The sequence below is a fragment of the Homo sapiens genome, chromosome 18, assembly GCF_000001405.40.
Source record: "Homo sapiens chromosome 18, GRCh38.p14 Primary Assembly".
NCBI classification, from domain to species: Eukaryota; Metazoa; Chordata; class Mammalia; order Primates; family Hominidae; genus Homo; species Homo sapiens.
In genome coordinates, this window is record NC_000018.10 from 52,102,857 (window position 1) to 52,129,672 (window position 26,816).

The 26,816-nt window shown below is 38.3% G+C and overlaps 1 long non-coding RNA gene across 4 annotated transcripts in view; it reads left to right on the top strand.

The window, feature by feature from the left end:
* The window catches only part of LOC105372121 (uncharacterized), a 175,442-nt gene that overhangs the window by 54,602 nt on the left and 94,024 nt on the right, over positions 1 to 26,816 (top strand). For all 4 annotated transcript variants that reach the window (XR_001753539.1, XR_001753538.1, XR_935473.1 and 1 more), the window contains one exon: positions 8,518 to 8,699. This is a non-coding gene — a long non-coding RNA (uncharacterized LOC105372121). The remainder of the gene's footprint in view (positions 1 to 8,517; positions 8,700 to 26,816) is intronic.

A 26,816-nucleotide genomic window follows, 5' to 3' on the forward strand; every position in this document is an offset into this window, starting at 1 on the left:
CTAAGCAAAATGAGCATATTTTTTTCTCTGTCTTCCAAGAGAAACAGTATCCACTCAGATGGCTAAAGAAGATAGATTTCTATCTGGAAGAAATTTGCTGATTTTAAACCACTCTTCATAGCTCTACAAATCCTTCACTTCATCATTCATTTGCTATTTATTGTAAGCCCACTATGGGCTAAGTATTTTGACTTTTAAGCAATCCTAACCTCAGGCTGGTGTTGGGATCAGGGCTAGAGACATGGAGGAACAGATACATGATTTTCTCCTGGGCATCCATTTATGCCAATGTGATTAATTCCACAACAAACAAAAATCGTAGCACATGACAAAAAACCTATGTTCAACAGGCAAAAATACTCCTCTCCAAAAGACTATCTGGCAGGTACAAGCTTAAAGGTAAAAGAACATAAGCCACATCTTTTGTCCAGATGCAATTTTGGGAGCTGCTCCCCTACCTTACGTCCCTGGAGGAAAACACTACAATATATCTTCTGGTGATGATTTGGGTAGCCTGGTCCAACATTGTAAGCTATTTTGAAGTATGCTGTTTTAAATTTGGTATGTTTGAAAGTGATTAGATAAGTTTAGTATATTGAGGTCAATGAATTATTAATTATGTATTCTTTTTAAATGTTGTAAGAGCTATACCTACACCTTCACTCCCTCCACCCCACCTTCTCATACCCTTAAGTTGGCTGTTTAAAGTGTGATTTAATTGTTTGAAGTAATTAAAGTATAAAAATACTCTTTATATTTTAAACTGATAAAAGCACTTTTACACAGACACATGTAAAAGTACTCATTTCCCCCATATAATTGCCAGTACTTGAGAGTATCAAACTTAAATTTTTCTATTTATTAACCTTCAGGCATAAAACAATACCTATTGCTACAATTCATTCTAACTTGATAAGTAGTGTGAAATAAGCCCCCCCCCTTTTCAGGCATTAAGTGAGGTAAGAAAAAAATTACTCTGTTTAAGTTAGTCCATGTTAATTAAAAGGGAACTCTGAAGTAAATTAGTTAAATTTAAGTATATTTTGCTGGTGAAAAATCTATGTTGTAAATTGCTTCTCTTTGTTGATAAGAAATGTCAAGGTTACAGACTATTTATTACTCAGAGAGCTAAACAGAGAATGTGCCTGATAAATAATGAGATTGAGAGAAAGTAAAACAGAAAAGTTGATTTATAATTATAGTTGACAGATTTCTTGTACGAGGGTTTTACTTTCAAGCAATGTATGTAAAGAGACAGAGTCTCTTGGTATTCACGTTTTACTCTTCATTCATGTACTATGAAACTTGCTTTTGAAAATTTTCTCATGTTTCACGAAGCATGCTTGAAAATTATGAAGTCATAAACCATAACTGGTCTAAGAGCTAATACAATTTCATGAATGGGACTTCTTTAAAAATTTACCTACAACTAAAATTATAAAACTCAGCCACAATATCTCCAAAACTACGAAACATCAAAACAGTGCCTGTAGGCCGGGTGTGGTGGCTCACGCGTGTAATCCCAGCATTTTGGGAGGCCCATGGTGGGCGGATCACGAGGTCAGGAGTTCGAGATCATCCTGGCTAACACGGTGAAACCCCATCTCGACTAAAAATACAAAAAAATCAGCTGGGTATGGTGGCACTTGCCTGTAGTCTCAGCTACTCGGGAGGCTGAGGCAGGAGAATCACTTGAACCTGGGAGGCAGAGGTTGCAGTGAGCCGAGATGGCGCCACTGCACTCCAGCCTGGGTGACAGAGCAAGATTCTGTCTCCAAACAACAACAACAACAAAAAAAAACAGTGCCAGTATTTTTAGATGACTTCCTTAATAAACCATCTTTGTTTTACAAAAATATAATTATAAAGAAGGTGCTTTCAACAGCATCAAAACTTAAATATAACATAAAATCTTGCCTAACTTTGAAACTAATGAGACTTAGCATCTTTTCAGATATTCATTGAATATCCCTTCTACATAAAATTTTTTAATGTAGCCTTTACCTAAGTTGTCAGCTTTTTTCCTATTTGATTTGCATGAATTCTTTATACTTTTCAGTATTAATTATTTGTTGGCTGTATGCATTGTAAATGTCTTATTCCTCTATGTGATTCACTTTTACTTTTGTTTACTATAACTTTCCTCAATCTAAAAAAGACCCTTTATAAAAACTTACAGCTACTGTCATATTTAATAGGTAAAAAATGCCTACCTTCCCTTTAAGATGGGAAAAAGGCAAAAATGTCTGCTCTCACCACTCTTATCATGTTTGAAATCCTAGTCAATGCAATAAATCAAGAAAAATAATACAAGATATATAGACTTAAATGAAAGAAGTAAACTATCCCTATTCATAGACAATATGATTGCCTATATAAAATTACTATGGAAGCTACAAATAATTATGGGATAAGTGATTATAGAAATGTTTCAGGATATAAGATCAACATACAAATATGAACTATATGTCTATATTATAGCAATAAACAGTTGGAAACTAAAACAAAAACAATGATACAACTCATAATAGCTTTAAAATGTGAAATATTTAGGTAATAACAATATATGTACAGATTTTCATGCTGAAAATAACTAAATGATGCTGAAATAAATAAATAACGGCCTAGATAAATGGAGAGGTATTTCATGTTCACACATTGGAAGTCTCACTATAGTAATGAGGTTATTTTTTTCCAGATTGATTTATAACTACAAAAAAATCTAAAATCAAACTCCCAGGAGTATACATTTTATAGACAAATAAAGCTGGTTCTAAACTTTATATGGAAAATCAAATAAACTGGAACAACCAAGAGGATTTTTACAAAGAATTAGATTGGAAGTCACACATACTCAGACATTAAGATTTATTATAAAGCTATAGTAATAATCAATACAGGATGGCAGTGGTGAAAGTACAGGCACACAGATAAATGGAACAGAAGAGAAAGTCCAGAAATAAACCTATGCATGCATGTTCAACTAGCTTTTGATAAAGGAACAAATGTAATTCCATGGAGAAAGTCATCTTTTCAATAAGCAGTGCTGGAACTATTGAACATCCATATGTAAAAAATAAATAACAAATTTCCATGTCATACAAAAAATCAACTGAAAATGGATCATCGACCAGAATGTAAAAATTCAACACTGTAAAGTTCTTAGAATAAAACTAAGAGAAAGCCTTGGCAACCTTGAGCTAAGCAAAAAGTCCTTGGAAATAACACCAAAAGCATGGTCCATTGAAAAATTGATGAATTAGATTTTATCGAAATGAAAAACTTCTGCTCTGAAAAAGACACTCTTAAGATAATGAAAAGACAACCTGCAGACTGGGAGAAAATATTTGCAATTACATACCTGATCAAGAATTTGTATCCAGAATATATATATATATAGAACTTTCAAAACCCAACAGTAAGAAACCAAACAACCCAATACAAAGTTGAGCAAAAGATGTGAACAGACATTTCACTAAAGAAGATATTCAGAAGGCAAATAAACAGAAGAAAACACAGTCTGTATTATTAATGCTATGGTGCTCCTATACAAATGGATTTATTTTTAAGACAATACCAAGTGCTTACTTGGATGTAGAATAACTGGAACTTTATACATGTAGAATAACTGGAACTTTCATACATTGCTGCTTTTAGGAATGCAAAATAGTACAGCTATTTTGGAAAATGACTTAATAATTTCTTATCAAGTTAAGCATACACTTAGCCTATGATCTTACAATCCCATTCTTATTCACTCTAGAGGAATGGAAAATCTATCTTTAGTTAGAAAGGATACACAAAGGTTTGAGCAGCATCATTCAAAATCACCAAAAACTGGGAACAACCCAAATGTCCTACAGTGAGTGAAGGTTAACAGACTGTGGCTCAGCTGTGTAACAGAATACTCTTCAGCATAAAAAGTCATGGGCTATAAATATATACAGCATGGATAATCTCAAAGGCATTATCTGGAGTGAAACAAGCAGTCCCGAAAGTTTGCATATTGTATGATTCTACTTATATGACATTGTGGAAAAGAAAAAATTACAAGAGCATAGAAAAGATCATTGGTCACCAGGGATTGGGGTGAGGAAGTATTTATTGCAAAGTGTATTAGGGTTCTCTAGAGGGACAGAACTAATAGGATAGATGTATATATGAAGGGGAGTTTATTAAGGAGTATTGGCTCATGCAATCACAAGGTGAAGTCCCATAATAGGCCGTCTTCAAGCTGAGGAGCAAGGAAGCCAGTCTGAGTCTAAAAACCTCAAAACTAGGGAAGCTGACTTCGGTCTGTGGCCAAAGGCTTGAGAGCCCCTAGTGGATCACTGGTGTTAAGTCCAAGAGTCTAAAAGCTGAAGAACTTGGAGTCTGATATTCAAGGGCAGGAAGCATCCAGCATGGGAGAAAGATGAAGACCAGAAGACTCACAAGTCTAGTTCTTCCATGTTCTTCTGCCCACTTTATTCTAGCCATGCTGGCAACTGATTAGATGGTGCCCACCCAGATTGAGGGTAGGTCTGCCTCTCCCAGTCCACTGACTCAAATGTTAATGTCCTTTGGCAACACCCTCACAGACACACCCAGGAAGAACACTTTGCATCCTTCAATCCAATCAAGTTGACACTCAATATTAACCATCATACAAAGGGACAGAAGGAGTATGATTTGGGGGGTGATGAAACTGTTCCATTTCCTTATTGTGGTTGTATTTACTACATGAATACATCCATGTAGTAAAATTCATAGAACTGTACCTCCCAAGGAATGAATGTTACTGTATGAAAATCTAAAAATTTTATTCAGCATTTCTACGTGTTTTCAGTAGTGAGACAAGATCAGCATCAGGGAAGTCCATCCTGTGGCATTAAGTCAGGTTTTTATTGCTTTTGTAATAGGAAAATACAACACAATAAAAGTCATTTTGTTTTTTTAAAAAGACAATTACATTGACAATACTTCGAGCTAAGAACCAAACATCCAGATACAAAAATGAGTTTGTATTGCTTAATAAAATTCTCCGTATTCTAAACTTCAGATAGGAATGAGCTTTGCCTGTTTTGCCAAACTTATAGGGACTAGCATAGAGCTTGCAGAAAACAAGTTCTTAATAAATACTCTTTATAACATCACTCAATAAATGACTGTAAACACAGACCTACTGACAGTGGGAGAAGTGGGAAAAGCCAAAATCACAATGCAGAGCATACAGAATTTGCTTAAATAATCTATACCCATATAACAAGAGCAAACATACAAACATCAAATCTCCTGCCTTTTATTTTTCTAATTCTCTTCTCGGAGTCAAAACCCTACTCATTGTTTAAGGTTCAGATCGGATTTTATTTCTTCCAAAAAAATCTTCCATACCCTCTCCATCTCACTCTGATTATTCTCTTATTTGAATGCTAACTTGCATTCTGACTTTGAGAGTAACCATATAAGCCCCTTGTAAAGCATACTCTGTCATGCAGCTATGTCTTATCTCTCTAGAATAATTAAAAACCCATGGATGATAAAAATCTAATTGAATATGTAGTCATGTTTTTTCTGAATTCTTCTCAGTACCTACATGTTACTAATGCACCTGGAGGGCATGACTGATGTTGCCTCAGAGCTGATACTCTACAAAGGTACTCATGCCTCACTTGCAAGTTGTCAGGGAATGTGCCTTTGCTGAAACCAAGGGGTTGGGTACATAAGAGGACAAAGTTGAGGTAGCCCCATGTTGGCCCAGAATCTCACAGGACGGCATCAGCAACTTCTTAGGCAGCACCCAGGCCTCTGAAGTTTCATCATTAGTATAGCACAGGTATCCAGCATGGGCACTTGCACCGTGAAAGAATGAGTACTTGCTCTTATCATCCAGACTTTGTTCAGGAACCTCAGCTCATTCACAGAAAAACTCGCTACTCTGACTCTACAGAATGAAAAAAACAAAAAAGGAAAGCTTATTTTACTCTAAATGAGAAAATGTTAGATTGCATTGGGTCCTTTTCAAAGAAATGAAATTAATGGAGTTACTCATTTCCTTCAAGGAAAGAGTAACAGTGCAGTTTCCCTCTAAGTTTTGCTTTCTCCTTCAGACAGCGCTCCTAATAAAAAAGGTTTACTATCATCAAATTGATTTAATCAGTGGATTTAAATGGTGCTTGACATTGAACCTAGTGATTATGACTTTGGTGTATTTATGTGTTTAGTACATTTGCACGTGGTGCGCTTATTAAACAGAGCAAATAATTTGCAGCAGAGTCGGCTGAGTCTTTGCAAGCTGAAGGAAGTATATAGCATTGTTTCCCCTCATCTGCATTCTTAAGTGCCTATTCTCTATAAAGCTTAGAGAATAAAGCTTTGCATTCATTTGTGAGCTGAAGTTAGGCTTGTTTCCATTAACTTCAAGCAACATTTCTTGTTCTTTCTCATCATTAGAACCTTAGTTTTTGGAATTTTAAGATATTCCTGTTTCAGAAATGGACATGGCTCTGAACTCACTAAGGTTCTCATTAGGTAAAAAGAAAGAATGCTAGAGAGAGAGAGAGAAGTGTCCAGAACATAAGGTGCTTCTCTGATTCTATCTATACTCACTCTTTAACTCCTACCTTTATAGGAAACCATTCCTGACCACACCAGCTTATATTGAAATCACACACTACTAATGGTCAGTACCCTACAATTTGATACTGCCTTACATTGCTTTATAGTGGTTGTTTTGAAATTGATTTTAATGACTCAAATTTGGGTTTCTTTTTTCAGGGTTGAGGATATGCTGCTCACCTTTTCACGTGTCTCCCACAGACCCTGTTGCAGTATAAGCCTTCAGTGGGTGCCCAATAAATACTTAGTTTGCTAGCTCTTGAAAATGGCTTGTCAATTTTCCAACACTGGCACAAGCACAAATGGTAGTAGATGCTGCAAATATTAATTTCTCGTAGTTAGAAAATAAATATGGCATTTTGTGCTTGGCTGGGGGGCTGTCCTTTTGACCTATAGCATTTTCACAGTTGTTTAAAATAGAACATAACTGCCACTTTTGACCCCATGAAATAGTGTACTTCCACTGACCTTATTGCCTTATTGGTTTTGCCTAGTTTTGTGTGTGTGTGTGTGTTTTTTTTTTTTTTTTTTTTTTTTTTTTTTTTTTTTTTGAGATGGAGTCTTGCTCTGTCACCCAGGCTGGAGTGCAGTGGCGCGATCTCGGCTCACTGCAAGCTCCGCCTCTCGGGTTCACGCCATTCTCCTGCCTCAGCCTCCCGCATAGCTGGGACTACAGGTGCTCTCCACCACGCCCGGCTAATTTTTTTGTATTTTTGGTAGAGACGGGGTTCCACCATGTTAGCCAGGATGGTCTTGATCTCCTGACCTTGTGATCCACCCGCCTCGGCCTCCCAAAGTGCTGGGATTACAGGCGTAAGCCACTGCGCCTGGCCAGTTTTGCCTAGTTTTAAAGGGAATATAAGCAACTATGGAAGGTCCAATAATTTCTTCCCTTCCATAGAGTCAATATATCTAATAGCTGCTTTCCTCAGCTGACTAGCATTGACTTCCCCAACACAATAAAGAGGGCAGAGATCTGTCTGAGAGGGTCCTGCTGGGAAGTGAGCATCTGCAGAGGGTCTTGGCAGACCCCTGACAAGCATAAGACTTTAGGTACTGTCTGCCCCTCCTGCCTCTTCCTCTTGCTCTCTACCTCGTCATCCAGCAGCCGTGTAACTGTGGCTTCTGCAAGTCCATCCTCAGCAGCAGCCCCTGTTCAGTGTTGCTTTCCCTGGAGGTGGCTTTTTCCTGCCTGGGCTATAGTCTCATAAAGCTGTCATAGCCCTGTAATCAGTTTGTCTTACCCTCTGAGATAGCTCAGAGGTATCTCACTTTTCCTGAGGAAGTACTACTTATGAGTCCCTGAAGTCTCACGGTATTTAATGTAGGAGACGATGTAAAGGATTTAGTCTTATTTGAAAATCCTAATGATGGCAGGTGGCCAGCTTTGGACTGTGCTGTGGACTAAATGTTTGGGTCCCTTCCAAAATTCAGATGTTGAGGCCTTAATTCTCAATGTGGTGGGCTTTCAGAGGTCTGACTTCTGAGGAATGAAGTCATGGGGGGTAGAGCCCCCATTATGGGATTGTTGTCCTTATAAAGCAATGAAGGAAGCAGAGCTCTTTCTCTCTTCCATGTGAAGATACAGCAAGAAGGAGGCTATCTACAAACCAGGGTGAGGGCTTTCACCAGGAAATGAATCAGCCAGCACCTTGATCTTGGCCTTCCCAGCCTCCAGAACTGCGAGAAATAAATTTCATAATTTAAACTAGTCCATGGCATTTTTGTTATAGCAACCCAAACCAACTGAGGCAGGCTACATTACTCTCTGGGACCCTTTAGGTGTAGGAACAGATTATTTTGCTTAAAGGTTGGTTACCTATTAGTCATTTACTGTCTACTGATAATGTTACCCCTGCTGCTTTCTGCTCATCTTGGCCTTTCTATTTGAACAGTGGTCTCCTAAACTGTCCTGTCTAGATATGAGACCTGAAACTGGGGCAGCCATTGCGAGACCCTGATGACAGCCAGCCCAATGGCAATGCAGACACACACAGCATGGTGGCATGAGATCATGTCCTAAGAAATGAGAGAATTTGATGTCATCGTGTGCTGCAGTCAGCCAGCCTTGGAACTCACCATACCTCTGGACTGCTTGATAGGTGAGAAAAGAAATTTGATATTGCTTATACTATTTTGAATTGAGATTTTCTATGACTTGAAGCTAAAAGCGTCACTCACACAGTTGGTTAAGTAAAGGTTGGTTATGAGAGTTTCTACATTTACCTACCACAAAGGGTTCTCATGAGAATCTGATGGAATTTGATGATGGATAAATAGATATAGAAAATATGGTATGTGTATCTAAACACAAACACACACACACACACACACACACACACACACATATGTTTTAGGCTGTTCTTGTGTTGCTATAAAGTAATACCCAAGGCTGGGTAATTTATAAAGAAAAGAAGTTTAGCTCACAGTTTCGCGCCTGTACAAGCATGGTGCTGGCATCTGCTGGGCTTCTTGGGAGACCTCAGGGAGATTTTACACAAGGTGGAAGGCAAAGTGGGAGCAGGAATGTCACATGGCCAGAGCAGGAGCAAGAGGATGGAAGAGGTACCAAATACTATTCTTTTTTTTTTTTTTTTTTTGAGACAGATTCTTGCTCTATCACCCAGGCTGGAGTGCAGTGGTGCAATCTCAGCTCACTGCAACCTCTGTCTCCCGGGTTCAAGCGAATCTCCTGCCTCAGCCTCCTGAGTAGCTGGGATTACAGGCACACAACACCACTAATTTTTGTATTTTTAGTAGAGGTGGGGTTTCACCATGATGGCCAGGCTGGTCTCGAACTCCTGACCTCAGGTGATCCACCTACCTTAGCTTTCCAAAGTGCTGAGAATACAAGCGTGAGCCACTGTGCCTGCTGGTACCAAATACTTTTAAACAACCAGATCTCTTGTGAACTCAGAACAAAGGGCCCACTTATCACCAAAGGGACAGCCCAAGACATTCATGAGGGATCTGCCTCCATAATACAAACACCTCCCACCAGGCCCCACCTCCAACACTAGAGACCATATTTCAATATGCGATTTTGAAGGGACACATATTCAAACCATATCATTTATACACACAGATATATATACACACACAATGAAATGTTGGTTAGCAATAATAGAAGAAGGAAGTCTTTCCATTTGTGACAACATGGATAAACTTGGAGGACATTATTCTTAGGGAAATAAGCCAGAAACAGAATGACAAATTTTGTATAATCTCACTTATATGTGGAATCTAAAGAAGCCAAATTCATAGCAGTAGAGGGTAGAATGGTGGTTGCCAGGGTCTACAAGAAGGGGAGAACAGGGAAATGTTGGTGAAAAGGCAAAAATTTTCAGTCATGCAGGGTAAATAAGTCCTGGGGATGTAATATACAGTAACAGTAATGTGACTATTGCTAACAGAACTGTATTATATACTTGAAATTTGCTACAATGGTAAATCTTAAGTGTTCTCACCACAAAAAGAGAAAATAATAACTATATGAGGTGATGGATATGTTAATTCACTTGGTGATTATTTTACAATATATACATATATCAAAATGGCAAATTGTGCACCTTAAATATATACAAATTGTGTTTGTTAATTATACCTCAATAAAACAAAAATATATATTCTTATAATTATTGGTCTGGACATGTGTGTGCTCAGGAATGGTACTAGGCAGTAGAGGTCCAATCTCTGCTCTCACCGAGTTTATAATCCCAGGGAAGAGACAATATTAAAGAAATAATTATGCACATATTTTCTTTTAAATAATAACTACTTTGTAAACCTACAGTGTAGACTGTTTGTATGATGGCATTAATACCTTCCAGCCTCAAAAAATAGATCTTGCTTTTGAAGGGCTTGTGGGTTCCACATGTGACATAAAACATGTGCCGATGGTAAGCAGAAAACTGGAGGGAACTTAGAAGGATGGACTGAAAAAGGAGGCTTTACCTTGGGAAAGGGGGAGGGTCATGTTTATTTTGGAGGTCCTTACATATTCAGAACCTTTTTAAAAAATTTTGGGCCAATCACTGCATTTTTAGGTGCCGGCAGGTATCAAAAATGTAAACTGATAGAATGTTAATTTTTAATAAATCCTCAGGAATAAATGTAATAGCTCATCTGTGAAGGATGACTGTGTTTCTTTCCCTTAGGAAGAGACCTTGATAATATATTAATGAGCGGCATAATGCTTACCCTTCAAGGGTGACATGCTCCATATATATGCAAAAGCCACATCACCCCACACTGAACTTTGGATAATGTCCAAATGTCTTCCCTCTATCCTGATGTTGTGTCTCTCATATCTGTTTGCTAGGTACATGCTCTGGCACTGCTTGGGTATAAATAATAACATCTGGCATCTGGAGGTTGAAGAATCTAACCATGTTTTGCTGATTGATGAATTAATCAATTTTTATTGATTACCAGAATGTTCTATTAATTCTATTATGATGTCTAAAGGGGAATCCATTGCAATTAAACAAAAAGACATTTGATAGTTTTTGTGGTAAATGAATTTGTAAATTTATTAGCTTTCAGTTGTTTACTTCCAATATAAGTAATTAATATTTCATGTTACTCTTTTAAATAGGAAAATGCTTATGGGATCATTTTAATTAAGGAGCAGGTATTGATTTGAAATGAAACCTCTAAAAGCCCTGAGTTTGTAATTGGGTAATACCTGGGTTATCAAAAATGATGTATTCTGATTACATTCATATTTCTCCAAAATCTCATTCCCTGACACAGAAGGCATAAGAATCTGTGCTTAAATGTCAGCTGGGGAAGAATGCACTAAGGTGCAAAGAAATCATTAAGTACCAGCTGAAATAATGTCCGCTGCAGCAGTGGACATGAAATCTGCATTGTGGTCTCAAGGCAGACAGGGATTCACTAAGATAAAGGCAGAGACAGTAAGAGAAGTCCTAGTGCTCAGGCAAAGAAGGAGGAAGGGGATGTTGAAGAGGCAAGCAGAAAGGGAAAGCTGGTGTCCCTGTGTCCGGGCAGAGATCGCAGATATTGGAAGGCTTGGTTCATAACAATGGACAGAGGCTCCTCTAGCCTAACAGCAAGGAGAGGGCTAGGCCTAGATTTTAGAGGTCTTCTAATGTGGAACATGGAAAAAAGTACTTCATCCTCCTATAATTTATGAGTGCCAATGACCCTAAGGTCATCACAGAATGGGGACAGGACTATAGGCCAAGTTGATCAGAACCCATTCATTTGGAACAAACACGTTCAAGACCCGGAGAGTAGAGTCAGTCAATCTAGGAATGAGTGTCAGGAGCATGAGGCCAAGGCAAGAAAGGAAGGAAATTCCAGCACTGCACTTCAGCGGTAAGGAAATCAGGCGAGCAGCCATAGCAGGTTAACACCTGGGCTGGGTGCAGTGGCTCACGCCTGTAATTCCAGCCCTTTGAGAGGCTGTGGCGGGCAGATCACTGGAGGTCAGGAGTTCGAGACCAGCCTAGCTAACATGGTGAAACCCCATCTCTGCTAAAAATACAAAAATTAGCTGGGCATGGTGGCAAGCGCCTATAATCCCAGCTACTAGGACGGCTGAGACAAGAGAATTGCTTGAACCCAGGAGGCAGAGGTTGCAATGAGCCGAGGTATCTCCATTGCACTCCAGCCTGGGCGACAGAGCAAGACTCCATCTCAAAAAGCAAAACAAACAAACAAAAAACAACAAAAAGAAAACCAACAACAACAAAAAAGAACGTTAGTTCCTGAGGGGACGGACAGTACCAGAATTGTTAACTAAATATTCCCAGCACATAGAATAGTGCTTGATGTATTATAAGTCCATGTGTTAATTCATGTGGATGAAGACCCCACTGAAGAAATAGGACATGGAGAGTGGGCAGGGGAGGGTATCCTAGTGAGTATATGGACAATGAAACATGTAACATGGCTTGTTGTTTGATTTCCACAATTGTCTTTAATTTTTTTTACTGCTTAGAATCTGCCTTAAAGGACAACATTGCTTGATTTCTACCTGGATCATTTCACAAAATTCCACAATGAGAGAGAAAAAATTTAGGACACCTGTGATGCTATTACATATGCTATGATATCTGATAATTTCTTATTTTAATAGTACATCAAGGGTGAGGGAAATGTACAGATGGAGAGACGAGGAGAGCTTTGCAGTTTTGAAATGGCCACAATTACAGGGTGTGGGCTATGAATTAAGGAGAAATGCTGTTGCAGACTCTACCAGACTTCGTATGTTTGCTTTTAGGTCCAGCTCTAGTTACCTCTAATAAGAGGCCACATATGAAAACTATTTTAACGTGTAGTTCAAGCACTGCTTGTGATATGTTTGTATTTTAATAAGGTAGTTTCATTCACAATAAAATGATCACTATTATAAGTCATTTTTTTTTTGAGATGAGATCTTGCTCTGTTGTCCAGGCTGTAGTACAGTGGCTCAATCACAGCTCACTGCAGGCTTGACCACCCGGGCCTCAGGGATTCTCCCATCTCAGCCTCCTAGGTAGCTGGGACCACAGGCACACACCACCACACCAGGCAACTTTTTTTATTACTATTTGTGGAGATGAGGTCTTGCTATGTTGCTCAGGCTAGTCTCAAACTCCTGGGCTCAAGCAATCCTCCCACCTTGGCCTCCCAAATTGCTGGGATTACAGGCATAAGCCACTGTGCCTGGCCATTAAGTACATTCTTAAGGACAGTATTTTATTTTAAAATCCATCGCTTACAGTACTTTCATTTGGACAAGACAAAGTAAAATTCTTATTAAGTTAAACTTCCTAGATCATGCAGGATAATTGCTTTGATGTTTCAAGATCCTTCCAAACTTTACAATTTTTCTTGCACATGTATAATTTTAACAAATTGAAATGTAGTCATAAATTGCTTAACGACAGAGATATGTTCTGAGAAATGCATGCTTTGGTGATTTTGGCATTGTGTGCATATCACAGAGCACATAGATGGCAGAGCCTACTCCATACTGAGGCTATATGGTGCAGCCTGCTGCCCCCAGGCTGCAAAACTATACAGCAGGTCACTGTACTGAATATTGCAGACAATGGTAACACAATGGTGAGCATTTGTGTATCTAAACATACCTAAACATAGAAAAGCTACAGTAAAAATACAGTATAAACAACTTAAAAATGATACACCTGTTTAGTGCATTTACCTTAAATGGAGCTTGCAGGATCGGAACTTGTTCTGGGTAAAGAAGTGAGCACGTGGTAGGTGACTGTGAAGGCCTAGCACATGACTGTATAGTACTGTAGACTATCAACTCTGTACACTTAGGCTACACTAAACTTATTAAGTAATTGTGCTAGAACATTACAATGGCTACAGTCACTAGGGGATGGGAATTTTTCAGCTCCATTATAATCTTATGAGGCCACCATCATATATGTGATACTTTATTGACTAAAATGTCATTTTGCCACTTGTGACTGTACTAAACATTAGAGAAGTAGTATAGAAAATTAGAACACGCTGAAATGTCATGACTCCAGTTGTAGTCCTGTGTCATTAACTAGCTTGGTGATCTTGAACAGGCACTTCACCTTTCTGGGTCTCGCTTTTCTTACCAGCTAAATTACAGAACTAAAGTAGATCATTTTTTAGATCATTTCTATCTCATTCTGACAGTCTACCGATAGAGTCTACAATAGCTTTGTCCAATAGAAAGACATCTGTGAGCCAGAAATACAATTTAAAATTATAAATGTACATGTAGCCATGTGAAAAAAAGTAAGAAGAAATAGATGAAATTAATTTTAATAATACTTCCATTACTTAAATCAGCATATCCAAAGTGGTATTTTTTCAACATTTGATCAATATAAAATTATGGAGTTATTTTACCTTTGTTTTATCATACTGAGTCTTTGAAATCCAATGCATATTTTACTCTTACAGCATATCTTAGTTCTGACTGGCTACTTTTTGAGTACTCAATAATCACCTGTGGCTAGTAGCTATTGTATTGGACAACACAGGTCTATAGTATTCAGCTAGAAAATAACTTCCATTAAATGGAAAGAAGACTTTCTCGGCAACATTTGTGACATATGGAAACTTTTTTGAAGAGTAGAAAAGAAGCTACATTATCAATTAAAATGATGAGTTTGGCTCAGTTGCCTGGTGCCTGGTGGCTTCAGCCCCACAATAGAAGGAGCTAGAATTTACTCCCTTTTGAGGTTCTCTTTTGTTTATCTGCTGTCACCAGATCCCCAGCTGTGGCTTGAGCTCTGCTGTAGAGTTCTGTTTGCTTTTCTGTGGGTCCTTACCCAGACTATGGTCACTACTTTCCCAAAAGATTGCATGGCCTCAGCAGGGGAGTGTGCAGCAAGCAGGTGCTGACCCACCCACCCTGGCCTCACCTCCAGGGTCTCTACAGCTCATCCTTTTATTCTTAACTTATCCTCAGCAACACCAACATATGGCTGCTGTGTGTGTGCATTACATGATCACTAATGGTGTGAACATATCTTGAACAAACTAAACATCATGGTGGAAAGTTGAAGGCAGATGATACTTAGGGCTGTTTTCAAAGTCAAAGAGAAAAGAAAAATAGGAGTTTTCTCATGGTAGGGTTGCCAGATAAAGTGCAGAATGCCAGTTCAGTGTGAATTTCAGATAAATAACAAACACTTTTTTAGTGTAAACATGCCCCAAACATTGCATGGGATATACTTATACTAAAAAATTTACTATTTATCTGAAATTCATATTCAACTAGGTATCCTTTTTTTTCTTTCTAAATCTGACAACCCTCTTCATGGATATGTTCAGTTCAGGTGTGATTGATCCATAGAGTGATAGACCCTTTTTTTAAACGTTCCACTGTTGATCTCATACCCTTCAAGAAAGCCTTTTTATGCTTTAGATCCGTCTTCTGCTCAGTCATTCCTTCCACTATTTTTTGGTGATAGCAACTCACTGCAGAACATTTTCTAGGGTCTAATATATTCACAAAGAGGTCACAGGAGACTTCTAATGATACCTTTTATGGGCTTTGAAATTCAAAGTCCAATTGTGTTTGGGTAAGTACCTCTCCCCGTGTGAGTTCAATACATCACTGCTTCTTTCTGCCATCTTCCAGCCTCAAGACCTAGTGTTCAGAGAGAAGTCTTTGAACAACACACACACACACACACACACACACACACACACATGCATAACATACACACAAAGAAGACTCCAAGCAGTAATTCCAAGATAATAATAAAGGAAAAAAGTGGCTTCCTAAATTAACATAGTCTGTAAAGATTTCACTTTCCAAATGAAGAAAGAACTTTTCTATTATTATGTGAAGCAGTTTTTACTTTACTTTCTCAACCACCAGCTTTCAAACTGCTCAGTGGTCAACTTAACCAGAAAAGGAAGTCTGCCTACTGGTCTATCTGGACCAGGCCCCACAGGGTGCCTTCTCTAAAAACAGCATCTCCCTTCACTGCTGCTGCTGCCTCTCTCACCAGGACCTGCAATCACCTGCTTCAGGCACACACATATACTGAGGAAGACAAAACAGCTGCAGTTTTAAAGTAGCTATTCTTTCTCCTTTTTGTCCTGATACACAAGAAATTGTTGATAATTTTGCTCCTAAGTAGAGGGTCTGAGTCAGGTTAGATTGCCTTTGTATGAGATCTAGGACTAACTCTAGGCAAAACTGAGGAGTAAGGCCAGCACTTTTATCTCTCCTCTTAAACTCTTTTCATTCCTCTACATACTCACGCTACTTGCCTTCATGATTCTGGCCTCCCAGTACCCTCTGCTGTTCCATCACAACTAATCTCTGATATGTTATTTACATACAGCCAAACCTTACCAGATAAACATTCATAACAGGAGTTTGCAAACTTTATATCATGAATGCTTTTTGAGAATGTAGTGAAGATGAGGAATCTTTTTCCTAGAACCAGTGCCTACAGAAATGCTTCTGTGTGTGTGTGTGTGTGTGTGTGTGTGTGTGTGTGGTGTAATGGAGTATTATTATTTTTTCTTTTTAGAGATGGGATCTTGCTCTGTTGCCCAGGCTGGAGTTTAGTGGCCTGATCATAGCTCACTGCAATCTCCAACTCCTGGACTCAAGCAATCCTCCTGCAGGGAGGATCCTCAAGCATCCCAAGTAGTTAGGATCACAGGCATGTGCCACCAAGCCCAGCTGATATTTATTTATTTATTTATATTTTGTAGTGACAAACTCTCATTATGTTGCCCAGGCTGGTCTTGAAATCCCGGCCTCAGGTGATCCTCTTGCTTTAGCCTCCCAGTGTGCTGGGATTACAGGTGGGAGCCACTATTTGTGGCTATCAGGGATTATTGACATAGTATAATAATATTAAGAAATGGTAAGAAAAAAAAACAGTAGATAAAGCAAGAGAATTACATTTTGCTCATTCCTAGCCTGTACTTGAAAAGTGTGAGTTTCCCTGTAGAAGACCAAGGGGCTAAATCATACCATGAAACCCTGGTCTTATATGCATGTGTAAGCATGCCTTACCTCACATATTCTGAGGCAGTTCCAGAAAAATCATTAAAGGTTGCTGGACTGTACACATTACTGTATATATAACATTTCTGTTCTCTCTGCTTTACCATCAATTTGATTCTGGAGAAAAGCAAAATATAAAACCTCTGTGAAGAAGAAAATAAGTTACCCCAAAGAAAGGCACCCCCACCAAGTTTTGGGAGGTGATAAAACTTATAAAGGGAATCGTCTGTACATAGTAAATTGTACATATGTAATTTACATATGTAAATACACCTCAAATTAATTGTATATATGTAAATACACCTCTAAACCTCAGGTTGTATTTTGGTAGTATCTGGTCAGACCTTATTCTTTCTCTTTCAACATATTATTATAAAAAATGTCCAACCTATTGAAAAGTTTGTAGAATTTTGAGTAAATGCCCATAAATTCACTACCTGTATCATTAATATTTTACTAGATTAGTTGCATATCTAACCATCTACTGATTCCTGTCTTTATACATCCATTTATCTTAAATTTGATGTATTTTGAAGTAAATTACAATTTAATACATTTCTTCTAAGTTATATCACCATGGGTATCTTTATTAAAGTTTAATATTTATTTAATTTTTTTTCTTTTTAAAAGGATCCTTCTTTTGGTACACAGTTGGCATCAATCATTGACTCCCTGTTCATCCAAAAGTGTAGAGGCCAAGGTGACGTCAATCATTCATGGCTCCATGTGAACTTCTCTAGTGACAGAGAGTAACTCACGGACAGTCAAACATTTGTTCCCCTTCCATTGATAGAACTGTTGCTGGAAAGAAGTTGCCAAGTCAGAGTATACAGTCCCTCTACCCTTTGCATCTAGATGAGGCTATGTCACTAGATTTTATCAATGGATTATAAACAAAAGAGTTGCCTATAATTCCAGGCCTAGATGGTGAAGTAAGGAGTCTGGGGTACCCCAAACTCTCTTTTCATCATTTACTGACTAGAATTCAGGAGTCTCCAATCATTTGGCTTCCCTGGGCCATATTGGAAGAAGTAGAATTGTCTTGGGCCACACATAAAATACACTAATGATAGCCAATGAGCTTAAAAAAAACAAACACAAAAAAGTTTCAAAATGTTTTAAGAAAGTTTATGAATTTGTGTTACACTGCATTCAAAGTCATCCTGGACCACATGTGGCCCTGTGGGTCATGGGTTGGACAAGATTGGACTAGATGATACCAGGGTGACCTTGAAGATGCTAGATTGCAGAAGACAAGACCAAAGTAGCTTAGGTTCTTGAGTCACTATTTGAAGCTGAGCCACCGTTTGAAGCTGAGACCGTGATTTAATTGAAAAATGAACTCTATTTTGTTAGGCTGGAGAGATTAGGGGTGGATTGATATTGATGAAGTGCCAAACTGAAAGTAGTGTTTAGAATATGGCCCAGAATCAAGGCTAGTGCACTGGGAATGTGGACAGCTGAGCTGATGTATTAGGTGGGTTCAGGGATATGGCATTGGGTAGAATATAATGGAGGAAGAATCATTTATTAAGTGTGCCTTATTCTCTTTAACCTTCACATCCCCACAACTCGTTACCTAACCTCTTTTCTCACTATTCCTCCTGCCTCTATTCATCCTGATTGAAAAATCTTGTGATGTGTTTGACCTCCTGGAAGAGTAAGTTGCTAGCAGGTGACAGTCATGTTCCTCAAACACATGATGGCATTCTTCCTCTTATGCTATGGCTAACTCCTATCTCTGATTGGCACAGTTACAGTACCATGTATATTTGGCATTCCTGCATCCTCATCCAAATGTTTGACAGTGTGATATTCTGATCTAGCTTCCTGAGCTTCCATTTAGGTTTAGACATTCTTGAAATATAGAGCTGTCCTTTTCCCCAATACTTCCTTCTCTGTGTGATATCTTTTCCCTTAAAGCTGGATATTTTCTCCTTTTATCATCATTTGTCAACAATCCTGCCAACTCTCAGTGGCATTCATGACCTTGTATGGATTTCACTGGGTTAAATGTCTCAAGTTCATTTTGTTTATTACACATACTTCTTTCATTGCTATAGTCACTCTGAAGATGTCAGATTTACCCTATGATTCTATTCTCTGTTATTTCCTTTTATAAATTACTTGGCATCTTCTCCATTGCTTCTGTCCCCCCCAGCTAATTTATACCTAATAACCTCCAAGGGCAGTATTTTATAGTGTAAGCTGTGCATTTCCCCCCTCTTTTCTCAATCTTCAATTGAAATCTCTCTTTATCCTGTTGGCAAGTCTCCTAGAAAATATATTCTTCTCAGGTCCCATGAGATAAACTCTATTCCTTGCCAAGAGCATTTCATTTTGGTGTCATAAGTCATGATCTTAAAAAAAAGCATATTATTTTCTTTGACATAATCTCTATAGCCAGCTGTTCATGTCTCATAACCTCTAGTTGATTCTTAAGTCATGACCTTTAACTGGAAACACAAACGAAAAGTTCACCCTTAGCCTTAAGCAATTTTGGTTTTAGCATAATAATTTATGAAAACTAGAGACACTTTTGCCAATTTTTAGTAGAATAATTTGACCCCACATAATTTATACATGGTACAGATATCTATTGTAATTATAATTAGTTCAAAGAAATTATAACATGGATATATAAAAATCATTGTACAAAATGAATGACTACAAGGTATAGGTTCCAGTTGGGTAAGATCTGAGGCTAGGATAGGCTGATTCTTGGAGTCAGTAAACTTCAGCTTCTAATAGTGCTTAGCCTAGTCCACTTATGTGTAAAGTTCCAGAACTCGTATTGAAAGATAATTTGAGCCTCATTAATAGTTGGGCTTCAGATATTAACAACTAAGTTTAGTGAGCAAGAGAGTGTAGTGGACATAAAAGCTAGATTGCAGGTGGATGATATGTACAACTGACCCTCCATGAAGAAAAAGCCACCTGAACTAAGAAAGTTATTAGGCATGACAGTTCAGACTAAGAAACTAGGCTTGGCTGTGGGAAGAGAACAGAAGGTAGTCACAAAACACAAGGTAGAACAGAAATTATTAGCTCAGTTCTCTTAGAGGCACTTATGTGCCCAGGAAAGACGGGGACTCTAAGATAATACTAAAATAACCTTCCTTATTACTATGGGGCATACAAATTCCGTGGTTGTTTATAAAAGTGGATTTGCCTTTTGCATTACTATATCAGCACCCGAGATCAAGGGATAGCGAAAATGTAGAGAGACTATAAATAGCAACAGCAAAATCAAAAACAGAACAACAACAAAAGCTATGTCAACATCATTATGAGAACAAATAATTCCACTGCCATTAAACCTACAAGCAAAGGCAATGGTGAACAATATCTGAGATGAATGGCAAAGAGCTCCCAGAGCAGAAGGAAAGCAGATTCTCATGTTTTAAACGGTTTGTTTTAATCGGGTATAGTAAGAAGGCAGACACAGAGATAACTGCTTTTGAAAGAAGAGCTTATTACCCACAGTTTCCAAGATGAGAAGGTGCACCATGCCACACAAGGCCACATAAGGAGGCACAAGCTTAGTCAGGGGGCATAAGGAGAGAGGAGGAAGCATGGGTATGAGTCTTGATTACTATAGTGATGAAAAATTGGTAGGTTAGGGTGTCTCCAACTGGGCAGGAAACAAAGCATAGATGTTGGGGTTTGTAGTCAGTAAAAAACGTAGTCTGTTAACATGGCCTTGTGACACTGTATGCCAAAATGTCAATCACAGGATCCCAAGAACGATTATTATATGCAGTAGTGGTGCAGATTGTCTGACAAACCCTACTTTGGTGTCTTTGGAGAGAAACAAGAAAAGGAAGAAGCTGAGAAGATTTAGAAAAAGTGGCCTTAGGGAAAACAGAGAGCCTCTCACTTTTAGGAAATAGAACATTTTGCTTACACTTGGAAACATGTGAATTAATGGAGACCTGATGAGGTTTCTCATTTAACAAAGACATTTTGCCAATCTTGGACTACTATTGGATCAGCTCCTACATTTTGAAAGTAGAAGCACCCTGGCCCTAACTCAATCATATAAATGTTAAGGCATTTACCTCTTGAAGACACAGATGAAAGTAGGAGAAAAAGAAAGGATTTTCCTATAACTTGGTGAGCCAGCCAGAATATGTCAAAGGAGAAAGATGTTTTTTCCTTTTATCATAGGGTTAACCATTCTTGTAGGTGTCAGTATTCTCTGAATATTCATAAATCATTTAAATTAGTACAAACTGATACAAAATGAAGAATAATATGTGAATAAAAATGTCCTGGGACTGGAAGAATAAACATCATAATAATGTCAACTTAATGTAAAATGTTAACACAGTCAGGTTTTTTTATGGAGATAAGTTATTTATAAAGTTAAAATGGAATAATAAGCATCCAAGAGTAGTTATGGAAACAATAAAATAGAAAAATAATATGTAGGTGCTAGCCATATCAAATATTAAAACATTATAAAACCTGTATAATTAAAATGTCATGATTTTAGCTCATGAACAGATGAAAAGCAAAGGGTACAGAATCAAAATTCTAGAAACAGACAAAATACATATAAAATTTTTGTGTCTAATAAATGTGACATCTCAAACCAATTGAGAAAATGTAGGCCTTTTAATACAAGATTTTGGGACAATTGGTAAGACATTTGAAAAAGATCTTTCTGTTACTTCATCCATACAGATAAGTTCCAAATGACACAGTGATATTAATGTAAAAAAAAAAAAAAATGAGGCCTGGCGTGGTGGCTCATGCCTGTAATCCCAGCACTTTGGGAGGCCAGGGTGGGCGGATCATGAGGTCAGGAGATCGAGACCATCCTGGCCAATATGGTGAAACCCCCATCTCTACTAAAAATACAAAAATTAGCCTGGTGTGGTGGCACGCGCCTGTAGTCCCAGCTACTCAGGAGGCTGAAGCAGGAGAATCATTTGAACCTGGGAGGTGGAGGTTGCAGTGAGTCAAGATCACGCCACTGAACTCCGGCCTGGCAACAAAGTGAGACTCTGTCTCAAACAAAATAAAATAAAATAATGAAACCATACATGTCGCCAGAAGAAAACACAGGCAAATACCTTTATAAGCTAGGAAACAGGAAGATTGGAAAAAGCCTAACCATGACTGTGAGAGCTACATTCTTTATGTAGGCCCTGTTTTCTGTCTTTTCCAGCTTTTTAGAAGTTGCTATATTCCTTGGTTCATGCCATAAGCCTCTGACTTCTTCCATGTTAACATTTCCCCTGGCTCTGACTTTCCTGCCTTCCTCTTACAAGGACCTTTGGGATTAAATGAGCTCCTCATTTCAATATCCTTAACTTATTCATATCTGCAAAGTCCTTTTTGCTATGTAAAGTAACTAACTCACGGTTTCTGAGACACGGGTATCTTTAGGAGGCTACTATTCTGCCTACATAGTCTTTCCTCTGACTCCCAAAGATTCACAGCCATCCCGCATGTGAAATATTTTCATCCCATTCCAAGGTTCACAAAAGTCCCTATCCATTACAGCATGAACTCAAAGTCCATACTTTCGTCTAAATCTCATCAACTCAGAGTCCCGAATCTCATGATCTAAATCAGAAGAGGGTGAAACTCTGGGTATGAGCCAGGGGCAAAATTTCTCTTCCTCCGTGGACCTATGGAAAACCAAAAAAGAAGTTATCTGCTTCTAAAATACAATGGCAGAGGAAGGCAGGCATAGAGTAGCAGTTCCAAACATTTCCTTTTGAAAAGGGAGAAAATTGAAGGGAATAAAGACACATTGTTCTCAGGTAATTTTGAAATATCACTGGGCAAACTCCATTAGGTTTCAAAGCCTTTAATTAATCCTCTGTGCTTTAACACTCTGCCCCGGGCTCAAAGCCCCACCCTTAGGGTCACTCCTTATTTTATATGAAGGGCAGCATGTATTTTCCACTGAGTTGTTTTATCAGCTTATTTATTTCCTGAATGTAGCAATTCCAACAAGGGGGTTGACAGCCTTTGTTTATCGTGTCCTCTCTGTCCCTTTTGATCCAAGCTGGCAGTATTTCTGATGGTATAAAATTCTCAAATACCTTGTCTTCCACGTACGTCACAGGGATTCAGTTCATTAGATGAGAGGCTCCTCCACAGAGGTATCCTAGACAATCTCACCTGTATCGTGGCTTCTGTGGAGTTGACTTAGGGGTTCTGTGAGTAACAAGCCTAACTACAGATGTATTCAACAAGATAGATGAATCTCAAATGCATTATGGTGGGTGAAAGAAGCCAGGCTCATTTATATGACATCCTATAAAGGCAAAACTACAGGGATGGAGTACAGATTAGAGGTTGCCAAAGGTTGCAGTCAGGTGGGGGTGGGGAAGTTTGATTGAAACAGGCAGCACAAGGTAATTTGCAGGGAACAGTGTTGATAATAAAGAACAACTGGGCTCCCGGCTAAACTGCACTCTCGAGCTTGGAAACTTGGCCCTAAGTGAAAGCAGCTGACCCCATTTTTTCCACCCAAATGATTGCCTTTTTGGCCTGCCCACCCTGTATCCTGACCCCATAAAAACAAGACCAGCTGGCAGAAAAAATAAGGAAGAAAAAAGAGCAACACAATCTGCTGAGCCTTGGGCTGAGCAGTGAGCAGAGAAGCAACTGAACTTCAGGGACCTTATGTTTGCAGAGGGGAGCCGAGCCATATGTGGCTGGGCTTCAGAGAAAGAACACGTTCTTCCTGCACCAACCCCTTTCCAGCTCCCCTTCCACTGAGAGCCACTTTCACTGCTCAATAAATTCTTCTGAATTCATCATCTTTCCAACAGTTCGTGTGACCTGATTCTTCCTGGACTCCAAACAAGAACTCAGGTGTCAAACAGGGCAGGTTCAGGAGGCTGACACCCTGACCCTTTACTGAGCTGTTAACACTTAGCCATCCACAGACTGCAGGCTGAGTGAAATGAGCCACTCTAGTTCCTGCCCAAAAAGGAGGTAAAGGTCAAAGGGAGATATTCCCATCTTATTGATGGAACTGTTCTGTGTCTTGTTTTGGTGCTTATACAACTCTTATGCATTTGTCAAAACTCATAGAGCTGAAGATCACAAAGAGTGATATCTACTCTATACAAATTAAAAATAAGTTATAAAACAATAGGAGACAGAAGAAGTAGAAGGAAGAAAATTTAGACCTCATTAGTTGACTTCACATTCTTGTGAAAGATCCAGAATGGAAGTGAATATAAGAGAAAAATAAACTATTTCTCTCAGGAAAATACAATTTGTAAATACCCCTTTTCTTTCTCTACCTATTTCATGCTTTGTAAGGAAGGCAGATTCTGTAGAGGAGGCTCAGCACCCATGTTAAAAGCATCCTACAATGACCTCAGCTTTAAAGCTGAGCTTTCATTTCTAATGCTTTAAAATAGAATTCCACAAAGCTAGGGTTTCACTCTCCGTTTAAAGTTTACAGCATTTGCTGACCTTTAATTCATTAATAATGGAATAATTTGGATACTACACTATAAGTTACTTGAGGATAAGATCTAGTTCTGCCTCACTTTGCTTTTCTCAAACTTCCTATCACAATCCCTTGCTAATACTGCAGGCCCTCCATAGAGCTACATTTACTAAATACATCTGTCAACAAACATTCTCTCTTAGAAATGCAAATGCCCTACAGGCTTTGAGGTTTTTTTATTGTTGTTGTTAATACTGCCTTATATTTCTTATATTTTCTATAGTAAACATAAATTACTTTTATAATTAGAAAAAAGCAATAAAAGTTATTTTGCAAATGCAAACACATCTGGGAGGGTTGTTTCAACCTTATTGCTTTTCTTGAAAGAATTGACTTATGTTGCACAGAGGGAGTGAGTTTTGACTTGGAAGGGGTAAAATAAGTCATTTGACAACAAGGACTACTTTTGGGATGGGGCTTATAGCAGCTGGAGAGCACCAGAGGTTTGATGGGAGGTGAGCGAAGATGCAGAAAGGGAGGTGGAGGGAATAGGTTAGGTCTGAAATAAATGTAATATTGTCAAAGCTTTTTTCTGATACCACTACATTAATAATAATAGGAAGAAGTAATTTTGCCTTTTTCTCTTCCATCCAGACTGACTTGATTCTTGAGAGCAGGAATCCAGAAAACCTCATATTTGCTAAATGTTTTTCACTCCAAAGTACGGAAGCTAATGTCAGTTGGTGGCAAAGTTCTTCAGATCAGCAGGGAAATTAGAAAAATAAGAACAGTGTAGGCAGTTTTACATAGAGCTGTTTGGTCATTTAAAAATTTTTGATATAATCTCCTCTCTAATTTTTCTGTTAGAGTATTCTTTACCTTATGGAGTGATAATGATAGAGGAGCTCAATTATTTGTTAAAGACTTTTCAAGTCCTTAAAATCTAAATCTGGGCTTTACCCATTAGGCTGTAAGCTCCATGATTACCACCATGGAGTGTGTTTTAGTCTTTACCTCCTACTTTCGTATGCCTGTGCCTAGCACTGTGTCCAGCACATAATGATATAAAACAGTATCTGTTGATTCTCTGACTATGGTAATTCAGCTACATTATGTCCTGTTTGTATTTCTGAATTAGATTGGAATCTAATCCCATTGAATAACTCTTCAGGTTATGCATTCCAAGTTGACAGAAAGTTCCTAAACAATATGTTCTCTTGTTATAAATTTCAAACATAACTCTGTCATATCCCATTTGGTGTAATTCTGACAAAAATATACACTAGTTTGTTCACTTATTAGTAGTCTGACACCTTTCAACAAAATGAAAACTTCTGTGAGTTTAGTACAGAGCCTGACACATAGAAAGTGTCTTAACTTTTTTTGTTGAATGAATCACTGTGTTAACTCTATCATCTGCCCAGTGACGATGTCTTGGTTATATTATGCCCCATGGTGGTAGGCACATCTGGCATTGTGTAATCACATTTTTAGCCTTCTCTGCCACCATTCCATGTTATGTGCTACTGGGACATTAAACTCTCAGAGATGGTATCTTGGCTGGGTGTTAAAAAGATAGGTCTAAATTTTCCAGGTGTGAGTATAGAGGGATTGAAGGAGGAAGTATGGGAGGAAAAAGAGGGAACTATGTACCAAATAGAACAGCACATTATTTCAGGCTCAGAATGACAGAATTTTTCTCTGTCTTGAAATATTCATACTTCTTCAGATGCCCCTAAACAAAATAACTTACTGTGATTTCTTGTATTCATGTTGACCTCTTAAGTGGACTAAATCCTTTAGGAGGTTGAGACTACCTGTTATTTACCTTTGGTTTTATAGAATCTTGTCCAAAGAAGCACCCAATGAATATTAATTAAATAAATGTCTAAATGTAAAATCTTTCTAATAATAACAGTAAAGTATTTCTGTATCACTTTATAGTTTACAAAGACTATTGTTAGATTCATAAAACTGTTGAGGTAGGTAGAGGAGGTCCTTATCCCCATTTTTCTAGTAAGGAAACTGAAGTTCACAGAATTGAACATAGTCCAAGATCATGAAACCAGAGTATGGTTAAGCTAAGACTTAAATCTAGGTCTCCTTACTTCAAAGCCAATGTTCTTGGTATTCACCCATACATTCTTTTGTTCTTTCCTTCAATGAATATTTACCAAATAGCACATTTTCCTTGATTCTTACATTTCCAAGCACAGGATAGGGTACACATAGAGAAGTTAAGGAATGTAAGAGCTCTCAAAAGGACATACCAGGTTGAGATCAGCGATGATA